At 40.6% G+C, this 20901-nt stretch overlaps 1 long non-coding RNA gene and 1 pseudogene across 1 annotated transcript; one reads left to right on the forward strand and one right to left on the reverse strand.

Annotated features, from left to right (window-relative positions):
* Window positions 1-847: 847 nt before the first annotated feature.
* On the forward strand, window positions 848-16632 carry FAM41AY1 (family with sequence similarity 41 member A, Y-linked 1). Its single transcript, NR_028083.1, has 10 exons — window positions 848-1005; window positions 1601-1650; window positions 12988-13116; window positions 13364-13457; window positions 14051-14221; window positions 14331-14424; window positions 14699-14908; window positions 15202-15389; window positions 15602-15823; window positions 15906-16632. It is a non-coding gene; the product is annotated as a family with sequence similarity 41 member A, Y-linked 1 (long non-coding RNA).
* On the reverse strand, window positions 16486-19321 carry TUBB1P2 (tubulin beta 1 class VI pseudogene 2; annotated as a pseudogene).

A 20901-nucleotide genomic window follows, 5' to 3' on the forward strand; every position in this document is an offset into this window, starting at 1 on the left:
ATTTAATTGCCTTATTTAAAGTTTCTCTATTTCTTCTTTTGAAACTTTCCTTGGTCACTGCTCACAGAAAAAAAAAATAAAGCTCTCGACTAAGAATCCTACACCTAGCATATTTATGTATCAAAAATTGAGGATTGCTTGAGTTCAGGAGTTCAAGACAGACCTGGGCAACACAATGAGACCTCATCTCTGCTAAAAATAATATATATATATATATATTAGCCAGGTGTGGTGGTGTGCACCAGTAGTCTCTCGGCTACTTGGGAGGCTGAGGTGAGAGAATTGCTCGAGCTCAGGAGATCTAGGCTACAGTGAGCTGTGATTGTGCCACTGAACTCCAGCCTGAGTGAGAGTTAGGTCTTGTCTCAAACAAAGAAACAAAACAACAACAACACCAATACAGAACCTTAGGGAATCTAATAAAAAAGTAGTTTGGGTCAATCTTTGCTATTTTAAATTCCTGTTTTTTCCATACATTCTAATGCAAGGTAAATGAAAGCACTGGTGAGACCCAGCCTGGAGGGGCTTGCCCTAAGCTTAGTGTTTGTTATCTCTGGGCAACCCCTACAAAATTTCCAGAGACATCTGGTGTGTGGAATAAGCCAATGTCAGCATCTCAGAAAAGGTTTTCACTTTAGGCCTTCCTGAATCAAGAGCCTAAGAGTATTGGGATCTACCAGGAGCATATTGTGCTCTGTTAAACATTTTCCATGAGTGACCTGGGCACAGGGTTGTCTCTAGGATGTAGGTGCTTGGTTACCAGAGTTCTAAGTTCTGTTGGGGTCTGTCACAAAGGAAGTAAGATCACTTTTTCAAAGTTTCATCCTCTGGCTCCTTGCTTTCCTCCATAAAACCCATCTAAAATGACCTTCTGGGCTACTGACTGCTCACTATCCCTGCGTGTCAACTCTTTAGCTGTGCACAATTATGCAAGAACAGCCCTCCTCACTTCCCTGAAAAGACCTGAATGAAGCCAGGGTCTCAGGTTTGAGGTCATAGATCTGGGTAAGAACCTAGTATTTCTTATTAGTTCTGTGACACTAGAAAAGTTATTGTAGGTTTTGGGGCCTTTCAACCTGTACAGTGGGTAATATGCCAGCATCTCCCTAGGGAACTCATCGGGTGTGTATGAGATAAGACCTGTAAAACTCATGGTGTGGCATCCCATGTAGACAATGCACGCATTTAGAGATAAAATAATTATAAGAAGGAATGGGAGGTAACATAGAATACAACACAAGCAGGCCTGTGTCCAGCACTGTGATATTGGAAAGTCGCTTCCCCTCTCAGCCTCATTTTTCATTCTACACTAGTAAGAATTTGAGGTGAAATGAAATTCACATGTTGTCATCCTCTGACATTATTCTTTTTAGAGCCTTCTCATTATATTCAGAATCAGACCCATGTCCCTCATTTTGGCCTATGTGGTTGGCAGACTATAGGAAGGCTCATAACACTAAGGGGTCTGCAGCTCACTTCTGACAAATGGAATGCAATAAATGTGATATGATAACATTTCTGTCTTAGATTGGCTGTTACAGCAAAGATAGAATGAGCCGCTTATCAACAGTACAATGTTCTTCAATGTTCTTTCTCACAGTTCTGGAGGACAGAAGTTGAAGATCAGAATGCCAGCATGGTCGAGCTCTAGTGAGAACTCTCTCTTCTGAGTTTCAGACTGTAGTCTTTACATTCTATATTTGCCTGACAGATAGTGGAGGATGGAGTTCTCTGGGTTTTTTGTTGTGTTTTGTTTTGTTTTGTTTATAGAGCCAGTAATACTGTTCCTGAGGCTTTCACCTCATTTTCTCCTCGTCTCTTTCTTCTGTGTTTTGTCCCTCAATCTATTTCTCTCATTCTTCTACTTACTCTGCCCATTGTTTTCTCTCCCATTTTCTGCCAATGTCTTTCTCTTTCTCTTTCAATGTGTATTTATTTCCCTGTCTTTCTACTGCATCCCTCAAGTTCAGAAAACAAGATCCAGAGTTATGAGCTGCCTATGCAGTGGCCTACACAACAGAGAATGAGGGAGTGCCCAGGCCCCAGGAAACACTCAGGCTCTCAGTCTACACTGAATCTGGACAATACCCATATGAGTGTGCTTGGAATCTAATCCTCTCACAGCTCAGCTTCAGCTGAGAGCACAGCCCCAGCTTCATGGAGCCCCATGTGCAGGCAACCAGCAAAGCTGTGTCCAGATTCTGGTCCACATAAATTGTGAGATAGTAAGAATTTGTTGTTAAAGATGCTAAGTTTGGGGAGAATGTTGTCAGAGAGAAGCAGATCACTGTCTTATTCTTCTAGGTCCCAGAGTCCTCCTTCCCTCTCCTTTTCTCTTCCCCAGGCTCCCTCTAGCCCTGCCGGCCTCTTTCTCTCATCCTCTGCCAAAGTCACTTCTGCCTGCATTTCTCTGCACCAGGAGTGGCATCTCACTGACACTGTATCCCCAGAGTTGTGCAGGGCTGGTCATCTGTTGCCACAGAGAGGCATTTGGGTCCCTAGAATGCTATGGCTCCCCGCCCTGCCTTTCAACATCCTACTTTATTTTAATTATAGCATTTACTCTTCATTTACTTGTACTTGCTTTAGGGTTTTTGTCCATATATCCTCAGACTGCAGGCTTCTTGAGTTGGGGAAAGGGCCACTCAATCATTTCTCAGCACCACATGCTGGGCCCATCATGGCACTTAGCACAGATTTAGTTCTGTGACAGGGTCGCTGAGTGAATAAATGAGGAAATGTCTAACCTCCTTGTCTGCTTCTGATCACCTCATAATGGTATATTTATTTCTTTTAAGAAAAACAATAATTATAGTTGATAGTAAAATATAAATGGCAAAATTAGTATAATTTCTGAAGTCTTCTGTTCAGTATTTGTGATAGCTTTTATTATGTAATTATCCCTATTATTATTTTATGTTTTATAACTTTTACATAAATATTGATCTTCAGAAAAACCTGTTTTAACTGAGTTGTGACAAAAAATTTTATATTCTATCTACAAATCTTCTATAGTTTAATAATTGTATTATTGTTTTTATGAATGATTTTGACCCTGATATTTTGGAAAGAGGAATTCTACAAGTTTCCTAGCAGGTCAGGCCAATCACATTTTGTCATCCAGGATTTAGCATCTGATGTTCCATCTAACAGGTGTACAAGTTGATATGTCAAGTAACCCTAAGCCATATGTGCCCTAAATAATTCTAAATTATTTGATGAATATTTAATTTTCTTGTTTAGTTTTTAAAAATCGTTAATTATAACTTGTTAGTTCATGTGCAACTCTGAACTCATGCACTAGATTTGAATTCTGCAGTTGCTTACCAATCTGGGTCATGGGAAAGGTGGATACTTAGGTGAAACAAACAATTTGGGAATGTGTGACAGCTCAGAAAATAATTTCATATTAAAAAACTAGAAGGAGAAGTCAATAGTTGGGCAAAAGATGAGATATTAGAATCATAAGGGGCAGGAGGGAGAGCAACATGCAAGGAGGCAACAGAAGGACAAGGAGGAGACACATTTACTAAAAAATGTGTCTGGTTTTTGTTGCTTCTGATTGTAAATTTTTCATCTTTAGACATCTTTAGCAATAGAATATTTTCGTGGAGCAATGTCTCATTCATAATTATGTGTACAGTCTTCTTGGCTCATTATATGTACCAACTAGAAATACTTCCCATTGGACCTGAAGATTCTTTGTCTTTCTAAAGTGCCTCTCAAAGGAAGAATGTTTGTCTCGTCAACATTCATTAATGTGGTCATTAAAGGTTCAAATAATCATTGAACTAATGGTATTCAGAGAAATAAGTGTAAGAATTGTAATTAAAGTATATATAAGTACCAATACTTTTATCCTAAAATGAAGAGTATTTGGAGAACAGTTTGTGTGTAATCCTGTGCACCTAATGTCTCAGCCCTAATCCAATGGTTGGCCATAACTTAAAGCAGAAAAATGCCTATGACTCCAGTGGGTATAAAACAAGAGAAAACATGCTGTATGGATTAAAGATGTTTTCTTAAGATGAAAAAAAGTGAAAGGAAAATGTAACCAGTTTCACAGTAACTGACAGCAACGTTTATCCAAATTAATGCTGATCAAGGGAAAACCACTAACTGTTCTCTCTGTGAGGTTGGCTGAAACAATAGGCACAAAGGTCCTATGCCTATGGTCTACCCTCAGATTGTTCTTAAAAAAAATGACTTTACACATTATAATACATGACAGTAACACAAGGATAGCACAATGGGATGAAGATGGCCTGATTCTACCAAGAATGTCAACGAAATAGGGTCTACAAAATCTAGGTACCAAACTGATAATAAATAGCTGCAGAACCCAACAGAAAGAGAACAGAGTTCAGCTCTTGTGATGACTTAGCACATAATCATGCACTTGAAAAGTCAGGAAAAGCAAGGGAAAGGCGACCTTCATGGGTGGTGCACATAGTCAAGGCTGCCACCTATGGCAGTGGGTAGTTCAGAATATATTTCAGTGGAATCTTCATGTGACCATGAAAATTAGCAGACCACCTGAGGTAAGTGCCTTATTCAAATATACCATTTTTTAAATCTTTTATAACATAAATTTGCTGTGCCTTTTATGTTTATGTATACAAATGTTGACTATAGTGTTACAATTGCTTACAGTATTCAGCATAGTAACATGCTGTCCAGGTTTGTAGTTTAGGAGCAATAGGCTATACCATATAGTCTAGGTCTCCAATGGGCTATACCACCTAGGTTTGTGTAAGTACATTCTATGATGTTCACACAGTAATAATACTACACAATGGTGCATTTCTCAATATATATCCTCATTATTAAAAATGCATGGTTGTATAAAAAATAAAATGGATGTTGAAAGAGTGAAGTTGCTATGTATTGTTTCATAACATGTAACCCCAAAACTTTATGGCATAAAATCACAATATTTATTACCTGAATTTCTGTAGATGAGAAATTCAAGAACAATTATCCTGGTGGTTGTGCCCCAGGCCATCTCATGTGGTTACAGTCAGATTTCAATTGGGGCTGTCATCCAAACTCTTGACAGCAACTAGAAGATCCACTTTCAACTTTGCTAACATTCATGGCCTGCAAGTTGGTGGGGTTTTTAATTGAAGGTCTCAGGTTCTCTCCACATAGATATTTTTGTAGGGATGATTGACTGTTCTCACCAAATAGTGGCTGGTTTCTTTCAGAGAGAGTGGCTTAGGAAAAACAATGCATTAGTGGCAAAATCTTTTATGACCTAGACTCAGAAGTCACACATGGACACTTCTGTCACCTTCTATTCACCAGAAAGGATTTTTAAGCTTGACATACCTTCAAGAAGAAAAGAATTAGGGTCTATGAAAGGACTTCAATAAGTTTGTGAAAAAATGAAAGTAAAACACAAAAATAAAATATATAAACTTTATTTCTCAACATTAGCTTCATCAAGTCAAGTTCAAGACACTTTTATAAGCAATAATACCAGCCTTCAGTCTATCCCCACAAAAAGTAAGGTCCTGGGAATTTAACAATGTCAGGAAAGTCTCTTTTACATTATTAACTGTAGAAAATGGGTGTCTTTTAAAGCTGTTTTAAAATCAGAAGAGAAAAAGAAGTTGGAGGGAGCCAAATCAGGGTTAAAAGGTGGATGCTTAATAATTTTCCATGGCAAGTCCAGCAAAATTGTCCTTTGATTTTTTTTAATGAGAGGAAAGAGGAGGAACATTGTTGTGGTGGTGAAGAATTCTATGGTAAAATTTTCTGGAAATATTTCCCCTAACGCTTTGGGTAACTGTCTCAAAATACTCCATAATAGCATGTTTTATTGCATTATGTATTGTTTTGTTTTGTTTTTGGCCCTCTAGAAAGCCAACAGGCAAAATGCCTTGAGCACCCTGACACTGTTGCTATGAGCTTTGTTCTAGACCAGTAACCTTTTGCTGAGACTGGACCACTTTCACTTCTTGGTAGCCGTTGCTTTATTTCTGTTTTATGTTGAAAATTTCATGGAACAGCTGTGTTTGACTTCCTCACACAATTATTTGAAGAAATGCCTCAAGATCTTAATAACATTTATGTACAATTTCAGTTGAAAGCTCTGTTCTTGTCTGCAGCTGATCTAGGAACAAGAGTTTTCTAATCTATTGAGTGGAAAAATTCTCAAAATTGTGTGAATTTAAGAGATGGCCATGGTGTTGACTGTTGTTTATACCGTTGTCATTCCTAAACTGTTGTTTATACCGTTGTCACTCCTAAAGCACGGCATGAACAAGATTAATTTCTTTTCTGGTGAGTTAATGTGAATTGTCTTCCACTGTGGGCTTTATCTTCAACACCTAATCATCCCTTCTTAAAATGAGTTATTCATTTGTATGCTTGTGAATGTCGGGGGGCATTGTCCCCATAAATTGTTATAAAGAATTAGTTATTTTACTATTCTTTCACCCAAAATGGCCATAAATTTGATGTTTTTTCTTGCTTTAATTTTAGTAGAATTCATGCTGCTCTAATACGATCTCTTTTCAAATTGGTGTCTTAGTTTCCTTATTATAATTCCCCAAATTAGATCCTGTTCAGACATGTTATAACAAAGTTAGTAAAAGTTTATTTAGTTGCAAAATATTTTTGAAGTCTATGCAGAATTTATTCTCAATATGCATTTCTCATGAACTTTTTGAAGATCCTTCATACTTTTTGAAGAGTTTCAAATAATTTTTGAATGTATATTTAAACTATTACAAGAAAATTATCTATAGAACCAAATTTCAGATTTATCAAGTTTGTGATAGGTATAATAACCAATGGAAATATCAAATGGGCAGCTTAGCTATTGAAATAGAATTAGAGTTAAATGATTATAGAAGTATTCAGTAAAGACCTGCAGGTATTGAAAAGCATTAAAAATTTTGAAATAAAATAACAGGATTATATGTACCATTTAAGAGGAGAGATATCAGGAAAAAATAAGAACAGGGAGAAGAACCTATAATAGCAAATGTTATGTAAAATTTAAGGATAGTGAAGCCATTGCTGTTCTTCTCCATAGCAGCGTTGACATCTCTTTGTTAACAGTATCACTGAAACTCCTGCTTCCATTTCCAAAATCCTGTCTTTCTGAAGCAGAGTTTTTTTCCAGTGACAGCAATCAAAACAAAATTATGAAGTAGACTGGACATAAGCACCACATTTTGAGTGTCACAGTCTCCCATCACCGTCAAATGGAACTGACTAGTTGCAGGAAAACTAGCTCAGGGCTCTCACTGATTCTACATTACAGTGAGTTGTATAATTATTTCATTATATATTACAATGCAATATAATAAAGTATGAAATAAACGTAATGTGCTTGAGTCATCCTGAAACTGTCCCCCTGCCCAGTCCATGGATAAGTTGTCTTCCACGAAACTAGTCCCTAGTGCTGAAAAGACTGGGGAGTGCTGCAATATAGAAAGAAAAATTTAAAGAGAGGAAAACACAAAATCTATAACAGCTTTAATAATATATGCACTAATGCTGTACAGAATACACTAATTTCATTCATTTATTTAAGTATCAACCAATACATACAGACCAGTACAAATGCCTGTAATTGTTTTAGGAGAACATTGAATGAAACAGCAAGAGAGAAAGATAGCAAATTAAAAATATACGTGTATGATTATCAGAGAAAGACCCCCATCTCTATAAACAAAAATCTACATGTGCACGTCAAGTTGTAATGAGTACTAAGAACAAAAAAGAAGAATGAGAGAAGAAAGAGACAGATACATTAATTCATGTAGAATGATCAAGGAAGTTTGTCTGGGATTACAGTGGTTAACATTGCAGGTTTTAGAGTCAGACAGATGCCAGTTTTTATCCTGGCTCTGTGTCTCGTAGCTGGGTGTCCCATGGACAATTTATTCCACTTTTAAATCTCAGTTTTCAAATTTCTAATTTCTAAATGTTTATTAGAAATAAAAGCACATGAACAAACTAAACATACATAAAGAATCAAGCACAGAAAACTGATGAGGGTGTATAATGAATCAAGAATAATGGTTATAAAAATGGAGATAATAAATTTGTCAAACTTATTAGACAATTCTGAAGATTAGAAGATGAATATACATAAAGAATTTTGCATGTCATGTGGCATAACACTCATGGTAACTACAATTATTATCCTCATATTACTAAAGGAAAATATGTGTCGTTCTTGGGCATTAAAAAAGCTGTGGGCCGTACTTTTTCAAATTATGCAAACACATAAAGATTCATTTTTATGTTAAACAGTTCTTCCTTTAACATTTTTAAAAGAGATTTCTTGAAAGCATATGTCAAAAATCTCATGTAATGCTTTCTGCTTCTTAACCAAAGTTTAGAGAAACTTAACAATGAAACTTTTAAAATGTAGTTACATTACATAAACTATTTAAGGCAAGAATAAGCACAACAGCTTTAACTTCTTAAATATGCTTAAGCATTTCAACTAAAAAATTATTTCTTTCAAATTCACAGGAATCTGTTTAGAAAAATTTTAACTAGGAAAAGTTGGAATTCTAAAGTAAACAGTGCCTAAGGCCATAAAGTTTTTTATGGCTTTTAATTTCAATGTCAACGAGGGGGAAAAAAACATTCTCTGAAATTTGCTTTTATTCCATTAAAGACTTATTTTTTTATTACCAGCAATACAGAGTGACTCAGGTTGAATCTTGAAGGTAAACTGTAACTTAATTTTAAGTTTTGGCTAATTTTTAAGGATTTCTCAGTCACCTATCATGATTTCATCTCAGAAACCAAGATCTCAATTTCATATAGACATTTGGAATATTAAAATAGAAGGATAATGCTTCAAAATAATATTCATGTAGAGGCTTGCATATGTGGACCAGGAATCTTCATGTATTACAAAGTTTATGAGAACATAACAAATGCTGATACACACATTTAAGTCTGAAACAAAAATTTACAACAAACAAAATTGTAACAAATCAAGAAAATTCTGTGGGTTACACATTTTATGTCTAAAAATACAGGTATTAAACACTCAAGGATGGATAGAAGAATAAATCACAAGAGAAAACAGAAAATATCTAGAGACAAATTAAAAATATGAAATACCAAAAGTTAAGACATACATCAAAAGCAGTAGCATAAGAGAAAAATTTATAGTTATAAATGATTATAAAAAGTAAGATATCAAATCAACAACTTAACTATATAGCTAATGAACTAAAAACAGAGGGAAAAAGAGGGAACAACTAAAAGCTAGCAAAATAAAAAATGATAAAGATAGCAGTGGAAATAAGTGAAAGAGAATAGAAAAATATCAAAATACAACAAAACCAAGTTTGTTCTCTGAAAAAGTTCAACAAAACTGACAAACCTTTAACTAGATTGACTAAGAAAAAAAGAATACTCAAATTACAAAACTCAAAAATAAAATGGATTCATTACTACCAAATTTTTGGAGTAAAAAAAGAATGTAGGAGGGTACCATAAGAAACTGTACACTTAAAAATTGAATAACATAAATAAAACGAACAAATTCCTAGAAACAAAAAACCCACTAAGACTGAATATGAAAAGTTGAATAAACCTATTCAGAAAGGAGATTCCGCAAGAAGACTGCATCAGTAATCAAAAACCCAGCAACAAAGAAAAGCCTGGACCAGACGGCTTCACTGTTGAATTCTACCCAACATTTAATGCAGAATTAACACCAGTTTTTCTCAAGCTTTTTCAAAACGTTGAAGAGGAGGTAACATTTTCTAACTTATTCTATGAGGCTAGAATTACCCTGACACCAAGCCAGAAAAAGACACTATAAGAAAACTACAAACATCCCTTACAAATGCTGATTCAAAAATCCTCAACAAAATACCAGCAATTGAAATTTATCAGTACATTAAAAGGATTACACACTATGAATGAGTATAGTTGACTCCTGAAATAAAATTATGTTCCAACACATGAAAATCAGTTTAATATCACATTAACATAAAGAAGGAAAAAACCCTCATGTGATCATTTTAATCAAATAAAAGAATTTGTCAAAATTTAACCCACAATCATAAAAATATACTTAATAAGCTATAAAAATAAATAAAATATCGATGTAATGTTATATTAAAAAATGCACACACACACACACACACACACACACACACACACACACACACACAGCTAACCTTATGGTGAAAGACTGACAGATTTTACTCTAAGAGCAAAAACAAGGATGCCTGTTTTCACTACTTCTATTTAATATAGTACTGAAGATTCTAATTAGTTAAAACAAAAAGGCAAGTAAAAGAGTGAAAGATATTCCAATTTTTGAAAAAGTAAAATTATCTGTTCGCAGATGACATAATCTTATATGTTAAAAATCTTCTAGTTTCTGTGAGTTAAACTGTCAGATGCAGTAAATAAAATTCAGCAAAACTGCAGGATAGAAAATCAATACACACAAATTAGTTGTATTTCTGCAATAATAATAAACTATGTGAAGAAGAAATCAAGACAACAGTATAATTTATGATAGCATCAAAACAATAACATATTAGGAACAAACTTAACCAAGGAAATGAAAAACCTGTACAGCAAAAACTATAAACATTGCAGAAAAATATTAAAGATGATACAAATAAATGAAAAGACGTCATGTGTTTATTATGGATTGGAAGACAAAACCTTGTCAAGATGCCATTGTTATCAATAGTCATCCATGAATTCAATAAAATCACTATAAAAATTCCAATATTTGCAAAAATAGAAAAACCTGTTCTAAAATTCAGATGAGATTTCAAAAAACCCCAAGTAGCCAAATCAATCTTAAAAACTAACAAAATTAGAGGACTAACACCTCCTGGTTTCAAACTTACTGCAACGCTTCAGTACCCAAGACAATGTTGTACCGGCATAGAGACAGACAGAAAGACCAATGCAATAGAAATAAAGAACCAAAACATATGGTCATGATTTTTAACAAGGTAGTCAAAACTATTCAATGGGAAAGGACAGTATTTTAAAAACGGTGTTAACAAATGAATATTTACATGAAAAACAACGAAGTTCAACCCTTACTTTACACCACATAAAAAACTTAATTTAAAATAGACCAAACATCTAATTGTAAGTGCTGAAACTATAAAACCCTTAGAAAAAAACATAGGAAAAGAGTTTCATAACATAGAATCTGGCAATAATTTCTTGGATATGTCAGTGAAAGCATAGACAACAACAAAAACAACAATACACAAAAATAACTTCATCATAGTGAAAAGCTTTTGTGTATCTGAGATACAATCAATAGATTGAAAATACAATTCACGGAGGGGGAGAAAATATTCACACATTTATGTATTTCACAAGTAATTAATATCCAGGCTATATAAAGACCTCAGAAACAACAACAAAACAATCAAATTTAAACATGAGCAAAGGTTTTAAAATACACATTTCTTTAAAGAAGATATACAAATGACCAGTAAGCACAGTATAAGGAGCCCAGCATCAGTAATCATGAGAAAAAAGTAAATCCAAACCACAATGTCATACCAACTGACACATGTAAGTATAGCTACCATCAAAAAAACCACCAGCAGCAAACTAAAACAAACAACAAAGCTCCAGAAAGCAGCAAATGCTGGATGTGGAGAAGTCAGGACTCCTGCACTCTGCTGGTGGGAAAGTAAGATGGCACAGCCACTGTGGAAAACAGTAATCACTATGTGATCCAGTAATTCGACATCTGGGCCTATACCCCAGAAAACTGAAAGTGGGAATTTGAACACCCATGTTCGTAGCAGCATTCAGAATAGCCAAAGGGTAGAAAAAGCCCAAAGGTCCATCTACAGATGAATGGATAAGCAAATGTGAGCCATACACACAATGACATATTATTCAGCATTAAAAAGAAAAGAAATTTTAATACATCCTACAACATAAACCTTGAAAAGATTAAAACAAAAAATGCAAATACTCCATGCTTTTCACTTTTATAACAAACCTACAACGGTTAAATTCATAGACACAGGAAGTGGGATGTGGTTTCCAGGGGATAGGGGGAAGGGAAACGGGAGCTATTGTTCTGTGGATACAGTGTTTCACTTTGGGATGATAAAACAGATTTGAAAATGGATAGCGGTGATAGTTGCACAGCAATGTATTTGTACCTAATGTACTTAAATTTTCTATTACACATATTTTACCACAGTAAAAAATTAGCAAATATTTAAAAATCTATGTGTTGCTTTGAACTGTTTCTTTACATCCCTTGTCCATTTTTCAATTTGACTGCTAGTCTTTTAATAATTTAGGATATATATATATTACGTAAATTAGCTTTTTGTCTGTCACGTATGTTGCAGATCTATTTCCACAGTCTATGAGTCATTTGAAGTATTTTTCTCTCATAGAAAGTTTGAATTTTTATGGAGTCAACTGCATCAGTCTTCTATTCAAAGACTTATTTATGGGTATAGTCTTTCAGTTTAGGACGATAAAGAAGTTGTAGATACGGATTAAGGAGATGGTTTTACAACACTGTGAATATACTGAACTGTGCATTTAAACATGGAAAAAATAGTAAGTTTTATGTTATATATATTTTACCACCAAAAAAGGGTCAGGCTTAGATGTTTATAGGTTAGGGGTTTGTTGTACCTTTAACATTTATTCCCCTCCAGGGCTTTACTTTATAAAACACCCACACAAGAAAAGTAGATACTGACTTCACAAATCTCATTACAAGTCCCACAGCAGAGGCTGCCTTGGAAAACAGAGGTGGAAAAAGTCACAGAAACTTGAGGTCAATGTGAGACCTCCCATCCCCTACTCAGAAATCAGATGAGGGAATGCATGCATGCAGGCTGAGCTGGATAGATGAGATGGGGTGGGCAGAACAGTCCTCCAATCAGCCTAGACCTTAAGTGCTCTCACGTGCTCTCAGGCATGTATCAAACCAAGAAAGCAGGCTAGGAGGATAACACATCTACCTTTATACAGGGAGCTATGAAATATCTGAGATGAGCAAGTGATTCACAAGGAGACAGAAGCAGTATGACCTTTACCCTGTGACCCGGTTCAATTATTTCAGGCTCTCATTAACCAGGCGAGCTCCTCTTTCTCTCAGAGGTAGGTAAACTTGAGGGGGTAAAGTAGGATTTGGGATTTGGGGATAATGGAAAAGAAAGCCTGGTAATATTTCTTCTATCTCTGTTTTAAATAAAAAGTAAAACATAAATGCCCTTTCTCAGGGCCCAAATGTTAGGCAAAAACAATGTTTGTCATCTCAGTACACACATGGTCATTTATTTTTTCCCTCTGCATGTTGTGCGCTTTTTCAGTTTATAATGTCCCTGATCCACTTGTCTCATACTAGCTGCAAACAAGGAAACTGAATGTCACACCAGGTGGCCAGCATTTCTGTGAAGGGCAGAAACCGGGGCAGCCAAACAGCTGGCAGAGGCCAGCTAGTAAGTACCTGATGCCCACTCCGTAGAGGACTCCACACTTAAAAGACCAAATAAGCAAGTGTCAGGCTGACTCACTTGTTATCCCCCCAAATAAAAAAATAAAAGTAACCCCTCCAGGGAAAGTGTGTGTGTACATGCCAAAGTACATGCACACAGTTACATGCAAAGGGGAAAGTCTGGGAAGGAAGAAAACCCACCCCTGAACACAAGTTACTTGTGGGGAAGGGGCAGGTGAAGCCAACTGTCAGCATTTCTTACCTTTTCAACAGATGAGCTTGCATGAATTTTGGTAATTTCTCATAAAAAGGCAATTTTCACTCCTTGGGTGATCACCCAGGTCTTTCAAAACTGAGCCACCAACAACCACCTGTACCACTTGACAGGAAGCCAAATAATGGCTTCCATCAAAGCTCAGCCCTCCCACCCACCTCCCAGTCCTGTCCCATGCAGGGGGGTACTGGACTGCTGGGGTCCAAGGGTCCAGGCCAAACCCAACCCACAGATTGTTGGTGAAACCAGCATTCATCCAAGGGCCTTTCCGCAACTTGGGCCATGTGCTCACTGCATAAGTATGCCTGTGCTTGTTCCCCTAGGACAAAGACTCCCTTTTCTTACAGCTGGAATGAGGGGTGGGGAGATTTCATGGTGTCCTGTACAGGTTGGATGTTAATCTGATGTGGTGCTCTTGGAGAAGCTTGCCTGAGTCAGGTGCTTTCTCATCCTGTGGTGTGTGCTTCCCCTTCAAGCTGCAGAAGTCCCTGAAGGTAAGTGCTAATGCAACCCCCATCTACTGGTGAGCAGAGGTCAGGTGATCTGCAGCCGTCCAAGCAGCTGCTAAGTGACCAACAGGCTGGATCTGCATCTCACTTGCAGAGGCCCTGCGTGGCTGCTGTGGCTGCCCTGAGACTCGTTCTGCCTCCTCTTCCCTCCACAGCTCTCCCAGCTTCTACCCACAGCTGTGCTCCAGGTGAGAAACACTTATGGATGCACCAGGGTGTAACTACTCAGACTTCTGCATGCAGAAGGGCCCCTGATCCATGCTGTTTCCATATCCAAGCCCAAACTTGTCTAGAGCTTCAGCAAATCCAAGCCCTCTGAATTCCCTGCAAGACCAAACTGAGCCCTACAACCGCCACTACACTGATTAGCTGCCAGCCCCTGCTCCCTCCTGGGCCCCTGTCTATAGTGTTCTGAAGTCCTACAAGAATGTTGAGTTCCTAAGCCAACTCTCACCCAAACAGGTAAACAACCAGGGGCCTCCAGGGGTAGAGAACCTAGCCAGACAGGTTCTGCTGCCTGTAGACTTGATGTCCTTCCCCCACAACATGCCATGCTTGCCAGGCTGGAAGGGGGTCTCCAGATACTTGGGAAATCTGGGCCTGTAGCTGGCATATGGAGAAGAGGCCTGGAAAAGCACTACTCCTGTCCATGAAGCCCCCAGATGGAACCAGGTAATTGGGAAATACATGGGTACCAAGCCTAATCCACATTCAGACCCGATGGGAACTGCAGCAGGGACTCGCCCTCTGTGCAACTCTGGGTGTACCACTTCAGAAGGACCATCTGATCCCATGTGTCATTGGAGATACTACATGTGGGCAGGTTCCAGTGGTTGCTTCAGCTGAACCTTCCCAACCAGGTCCACACAAAAACATTTCATATGGGGGCACACCTGGGTGGGCAAGCACACCCCTCAGAGAGTGAGAGCCACTGAGGAGGGCTGTCACAGAGGCCCCTTTTCCTGCTCTGAGAACAGGTTAAGGGAGTATGGGGGACCTCTGCCACCTCCTAGCTGCTTCCAGGAGCCACTTCTTTCAAGATGAGGCACTCTCCTGCTTGCCTGTTGCCATTTGGCTGCAAAAGGCCATTGCCAACATTCAATGAAGAAAAAGAAAGGGGCCTCACCTGTTTTCCCTGACACACCTGAGGCAGGTGGGTATGCCCAGGGTTCCTGCGGTAGAACCTGTACATCTGCCGACCCCCAGGCTATGCTGGCTTCATTTTATCTGTGTGATGAGGGTGGGGTGGGAATTACCAAGAGGTAATTACACAGGCCACCGACAAATTCTACAAGAGCTAGGTAGAAAAGCACTGTCTTGTCAGGCTGCCCAGCACCCAGCTCACACACACACATCTCTTGACAGCTTCCCCAAAGCAGGCTTTGAAGTCCAGGCTCCCCAGGAAGCCTGGGGTGGAGACTCTGCCAGGCTAAAGGACCTATCCCCAAAGGTGACACCCTCACCAGTCTCATCCTGACAATCTTGGATTATTTTTGCCCTGAAGTTTTGAAGTGGGAGACAGAGAGACAGCAGACAGTGTGTATTAACCACCTTTCCAGAGAGCATCAGCCCTCCAGACTGGGGCAGGTAAGACCTCCACTTGTGTGTTTTTCTCACTGATTGCCAGATGGGGGAAACAGCACTTGTGAGCATCTGCCTGTCTCCCCAGGTCCTGTTCAGAAACCCCATCTTTGCCTTTGGAGAGACTGCCCCGAGCACACAGGCCCAGCAACCACCATCTATGGCCCCCAGGACCTAATAACCTTCTACATAGGGTTCAGTGCATGTGAGCAGACACTGGACTTGATTCCTGCCCAACAGTCCCTGCCAGATACCCCATGCCCACCTCATTAAGAGAATGAAGACACACGTTCACACCCAGTCCATCATGGTGATAGAGTGGCTGGGGTCCTACTTTGCCACCCTTCAATGCTGGTTCATAATCAGCTGTCTGACCACGTTCCTACCCTGAGGTAGGACTTTGGGACATTGTCCACCAGGGTCACTGACCACTTTTAAAGTTCCAGAAACAGAGGGCCAGCTATTCCCCTGGAAGTTTGCTACATGGGATAAGCCAAGGCTTGCCTTCAGGAACAGGTTTCCCATCACATAGCTGCCCAAGTCCCAGGGCATCCATACGTTCATGTGAATACTACTTGCCACATCCACAGCCCATGCCAACCCCTCCTGGAGCCAGCCGAATGCTTGTTACTGGGCATGTGATAAGCCCAGACAGCTTCAGCCTTGCAGGACAACTAAGGGCATCTAGCAGCAGTAGCCAGAGAGCCTAAAGAAAGAAGTTAGAGGTGAAACCAGATGTTATGAGAGTACTTTAGTAGGCAAAATCGCATACTATAAAAATGCTTTAAAATACATCAGGAGAAGATGAGAAGACACAAATGAACAATTGCGTAGTGACACAGGGCTGTCAGAACACAAAAAAGAATCCACATAGTTTCCATCCTTTCCCCAAGAAAAGGAAAGCTCTAGGCCACCTCCTCCTCAGCACACTCCTCAAACTCCTCCTCCTCAGCCTTGGCATCCTGGTACTGCTAATTTTCAGACACCAGGTCATTCATGTTGCTCTCAGCCTCAGTGAACTCCATCTCATCCAAGCCCTCGCCCGTGTACCAGTGGAGGAAGACCTTGCACTTGAACATTGCTGTAATCTCTTCTGAGACATGCTTGAAGATTTCCTGGATAACAATGCTGTTGCCCATGAAGGTGGCCAACATTTTTAGCCCCTGGGGTGGGATGTGACAGATGGCTGTTTTTACGTTGTGGGGGAGCCAGTCAGCAAAGTAGCTGCTGTTTTATTTTGAATGTTGAACATTTGTCCATCCACCTCCCTCATGGGCATGCAACCCCTGAAAATGGCAGCCACCATTAGGTAGCAGCCATGACAGGGGCAGCCATCATATTCTTAGCATAAAACATCTGCTGAGTAAGCTCAGCCACAGTCAGGGCCTGGTAATGCTGGCTGCCCCGGCTGGTCAGTGGGGCAAAGCCAGGCATGAAGAAATGCAGCCTGGGAAATGGGACCATGTTCACAGACAGCTTCTGTAGGTCAGCATTCAGCTGACCTGGGAAGCCCAGGCACATGGTGACCCCACTCATGGTAGCAGATAACAGGTGGTTCATGTCACCATAGGTAGGTGTGGGCAGTTTTAGGGTTCTGGAATAGATGTCATATAGAGCTTCATTATCTATGCAAAAGGTCTTATCTGCATTTTCTATGAGTTTCTATGGTGGACTGACAGGGTGGCATTGTAGAGTTCCACCATGGTGTCTGACACCTTGGGCGAGGACAGGATGCTGAATGTGTTTATGATCCTGTCTGAATACTCCTCCCAGATCTTACTAACGAGAAGGGTACCCATCCCAGATGCAGTTCCCCTACCCAGGGAGTGGGTCAGCTGGAAACCCTGCAGGCATTCACAGCTCTCACACTGCTTTCAGACAATGTCCATCGCTGACTCCATCAGCTCCGCACCTTCTGTATAGTGCCCCTTGGCCTTGTTTCAAGCCCCACACTGACCTGTATGACAGTACAGTCAGTCACTTGAGTGCCAGGTGTATGGTCATCAGTGGTCACCACCACAATGCAAAATGGACCAAGTGTCACATGTGAGGTGAAAGCACCATTCATCCTTCAGGTGGAGCAAATGAAACCCCGTACCGCAGAGTTACAGGACAGCAGCCTCCCCTTTTAGAAATTAAGTCAGGACTCAAAACTCAGACATGCTAAGAGACCTCGCTGTAGGTGGCTCCTACCTATTTTCAGGGAAGAGAGTAGCCACGGCCCCAGCTCAGCTCCCTGCAGGGAGTTTATAACACTAGCTCCTCACCTTGAGGAGACGCCTGGGGCTTCCTCCCGAAGCCCATTTAGGAGAGGCAGATTGAGCCATTGGGAGAATAGGAGGATGTTCAGGGGCCCTGGCTGCACAATTCCCACAGCTATGACCTTCAGGAACTACTAGATGAGCTGCTCCGGCTAAGGAGCCGCACCGCAGTCCTCACTCGCAGCTCACCAAAGATGAGGTTGTCGGCCTGAAGATGAGCCCGAAGGGCCCCGAGCGCAGAGAGTCCATGGTGACCGGCTCCAGGTCCACGAGCACAGCGCAGGGCACGTACCAGCCACCTGAGTGGGACAGGAGGGTATTAGCGAGGGGGAGGGCCGCCGTTCCCAGGATGGCGATCGGAGAAGGTCTGGGTTCTCACCGCTGGCCTCGTTGTAGTACACGTTGATGCGCTACAGCTGCAGGTTGCTCTCCCCGTGGTAGGTGCCAGCGGAGTCAATGGGATGTTCATCAGAGATCACCCCCCAGAACTACAAGAGATTGGGTGGGGTCAGACAGACCAGGGCTGAGTCACGGAGGCCAGGGAGCTGGAGGCGCCCCAGCCCCTCTCCTAGCTCCTCTACCACCCCCACCCTCATCCGCAACCACATCCCTAGGCTGCCGTGTCCCTGGGGTCCACCCCTGCCGACTAGTCAGCCTCCCAGTTCCACTGCGTCCCCGGCAGGGAGCCCAGGGGCTGCAATTCAGGGGCACCGCCCAAGCCACTGCCACTGCCAACATCTTCCCTGGCCACCCAGTAGGCCGGAGCTGGGACCTCAGAGCCCCGGATGCCAACCTTGGCACCGATCTTCTTCCCGCACTGCCGGGTCTGCGTGAGCGCAATCTCCCTCATGGCCAAGGCGGGATTAGGGCGGCAGGAGAAATGCGAGAAGGAAGAGCAGATGTGCAGCGACCCAGCCCGCCCTCTGCCAACATTTAAATAGACCCTCGCCCGCCTCCCTCAACCTCGGATTGGGCTCCCAGAATAAGCAACAGCTTTACTTCCACACAGGTGTACCCACCTGTGAGTCCCTTGGAGCTGAACGTCTGCTGGGGAGCTCAGGTGGCCTTGCTGTGGTCCTTTCCACGTTGGGGAAAGCTGGTCAGCTGGAGAACTTCCTCCCTCGTCTTTACTAAGATTAAATCCCTAGCTGACATGAAACTGAATTTTCCTCCCATGTGGGAGGGGAAGCCTCTTATTTCAGTATTCACAGAGTGCCTTGCACCTATCCTAGACTGATGACATATTTTTGTACTTGATGAGTCTTTTCATCTATTGGGAGATCTGTGGTAGGAAAGGCCTTCCATATGTAAACACAACAAGACTTAATGGTAAGTTTTACTTTGGAGCAGTTCAAACCCTCAGTAAGTTATGGGTGTTAGAGATATTAGGCATTTGATTTAGCATGAGTCTTCTTTAGAGTAGGATTAGCCCTTTCACCTTTCCAGAGGACTGCGGTCTTTACGCAGAGTGAAAGTAATACTGGATTCCTAAAGCTGAGGATAGGTGTTGGGATACACTGAAAATGGACCATTGTCACTTTGCAGGCTTTTAGATTACTCAGACTGATAAGTTATTTCTTCTGGCAACGATCTAACCAGTGAAGGTATCAGTAAGAGTTAGCAAATATTTGAATCTCCTGCAGAAAGACATCTGAGTAAATTAGAGTTGCCAGTTCTCACCTGGATAGATTCATCAATATTGGACACGTTTAACTGGAGAAGGAGAAAATTGCTGGCCTTTGGGACATGTCAGGCGCAGAGCTCACAGGGGTGAGCCACCTGTTTTATTGTCTTGAAAAGATTTACCCCTATAAACAAATGAGATATTAACAGAAACAAAGAATCTCTTCTAGGATGAAAATAATCATAAAGTGCTGAATTATATTCCTATGATTGGTACTTGGCATTAGTAATTTATTACCATCGTTCAGCGGGCCAGAGGGGTCCTGGACTGAACTGCAATCCCTGGCCCAATTTTGTACTTCTTCAGAGTATTCTGACCCTATGTTCTGTGAATGCTAATCAGCACACCCATAGCTTAATTGGCCTTTTCAGTCCAGGGGCCTTGACTGCAGCATCTACCAGGGCATTTCCTTTTACATGGTCCGTCTCTGTTTTGATGACCTCTGCAATTAATTATAGTCAGTTTTGGCAGCAAAACAGCATTCTAAGAAGCTAAAAATCTGAATGATGTTCTATGGAAAAGCCCTTGGGAGCCAGGGGTAGTTACCCATTCCAAATTGCAGCGTAAGAATGAAGCACTAAAAAATCATAGTTGGAATCAGTGTAAGTGTTAACGTTTAAATGCTTTACCAACTGCAGGGGCCTAGTAAGTTCAATTAACTCAGCTTTCTGAGCTGAGGTAGAGGCCAGCAATGCTTGTGCCTTGATTCTCTTGTGCTAATAAGTATATCTAGCTCTTCTGTTTTCCCTGATGCAAAAAAGAACTTGCGTCTGTTAACCACTCTTCCTTGGGATGGTCAAGGGGCAAGGGGCTCATCTCTTGTAAGTCTGGCCTCCTAGAATAAATTTGTTTTATAACCTGTGACATGATTTTGCTGTGTCCCCAGTCAAATCTTATCTTGAATTGTAGCTCCCATAATTCCCATATATCATGGCAGTGACCCAGGGGGAGGTAATTGAATTGGGGGATGAGTCTTTCCCATGCTGTTCTCGTGACAGTGAATAAGCCTCATGAGATCTAATGGTTTGTTTATTTATTTATTTATTTATTTTATTTTTTTTATTTTTGAGACATAGTCTTTCTCTGCTGCCCAGGCTAGAACGCAATAGCATGATCTCAGCTCCCTGCAACTTCTGACT

The sequence above is a fragment of the Homo sapiens genome, chromosome Y (genome assembly GCF_000001405.40).
Source record: "Homo sapiens chromosome Y, GRCh38.p14 Primary Assembly".
Taxonomy (NCBI): Eukaryota; Metazoa; Chordata; class Mammalia; order Primates; family Hominidae; genus Homo; species Homo sapiens.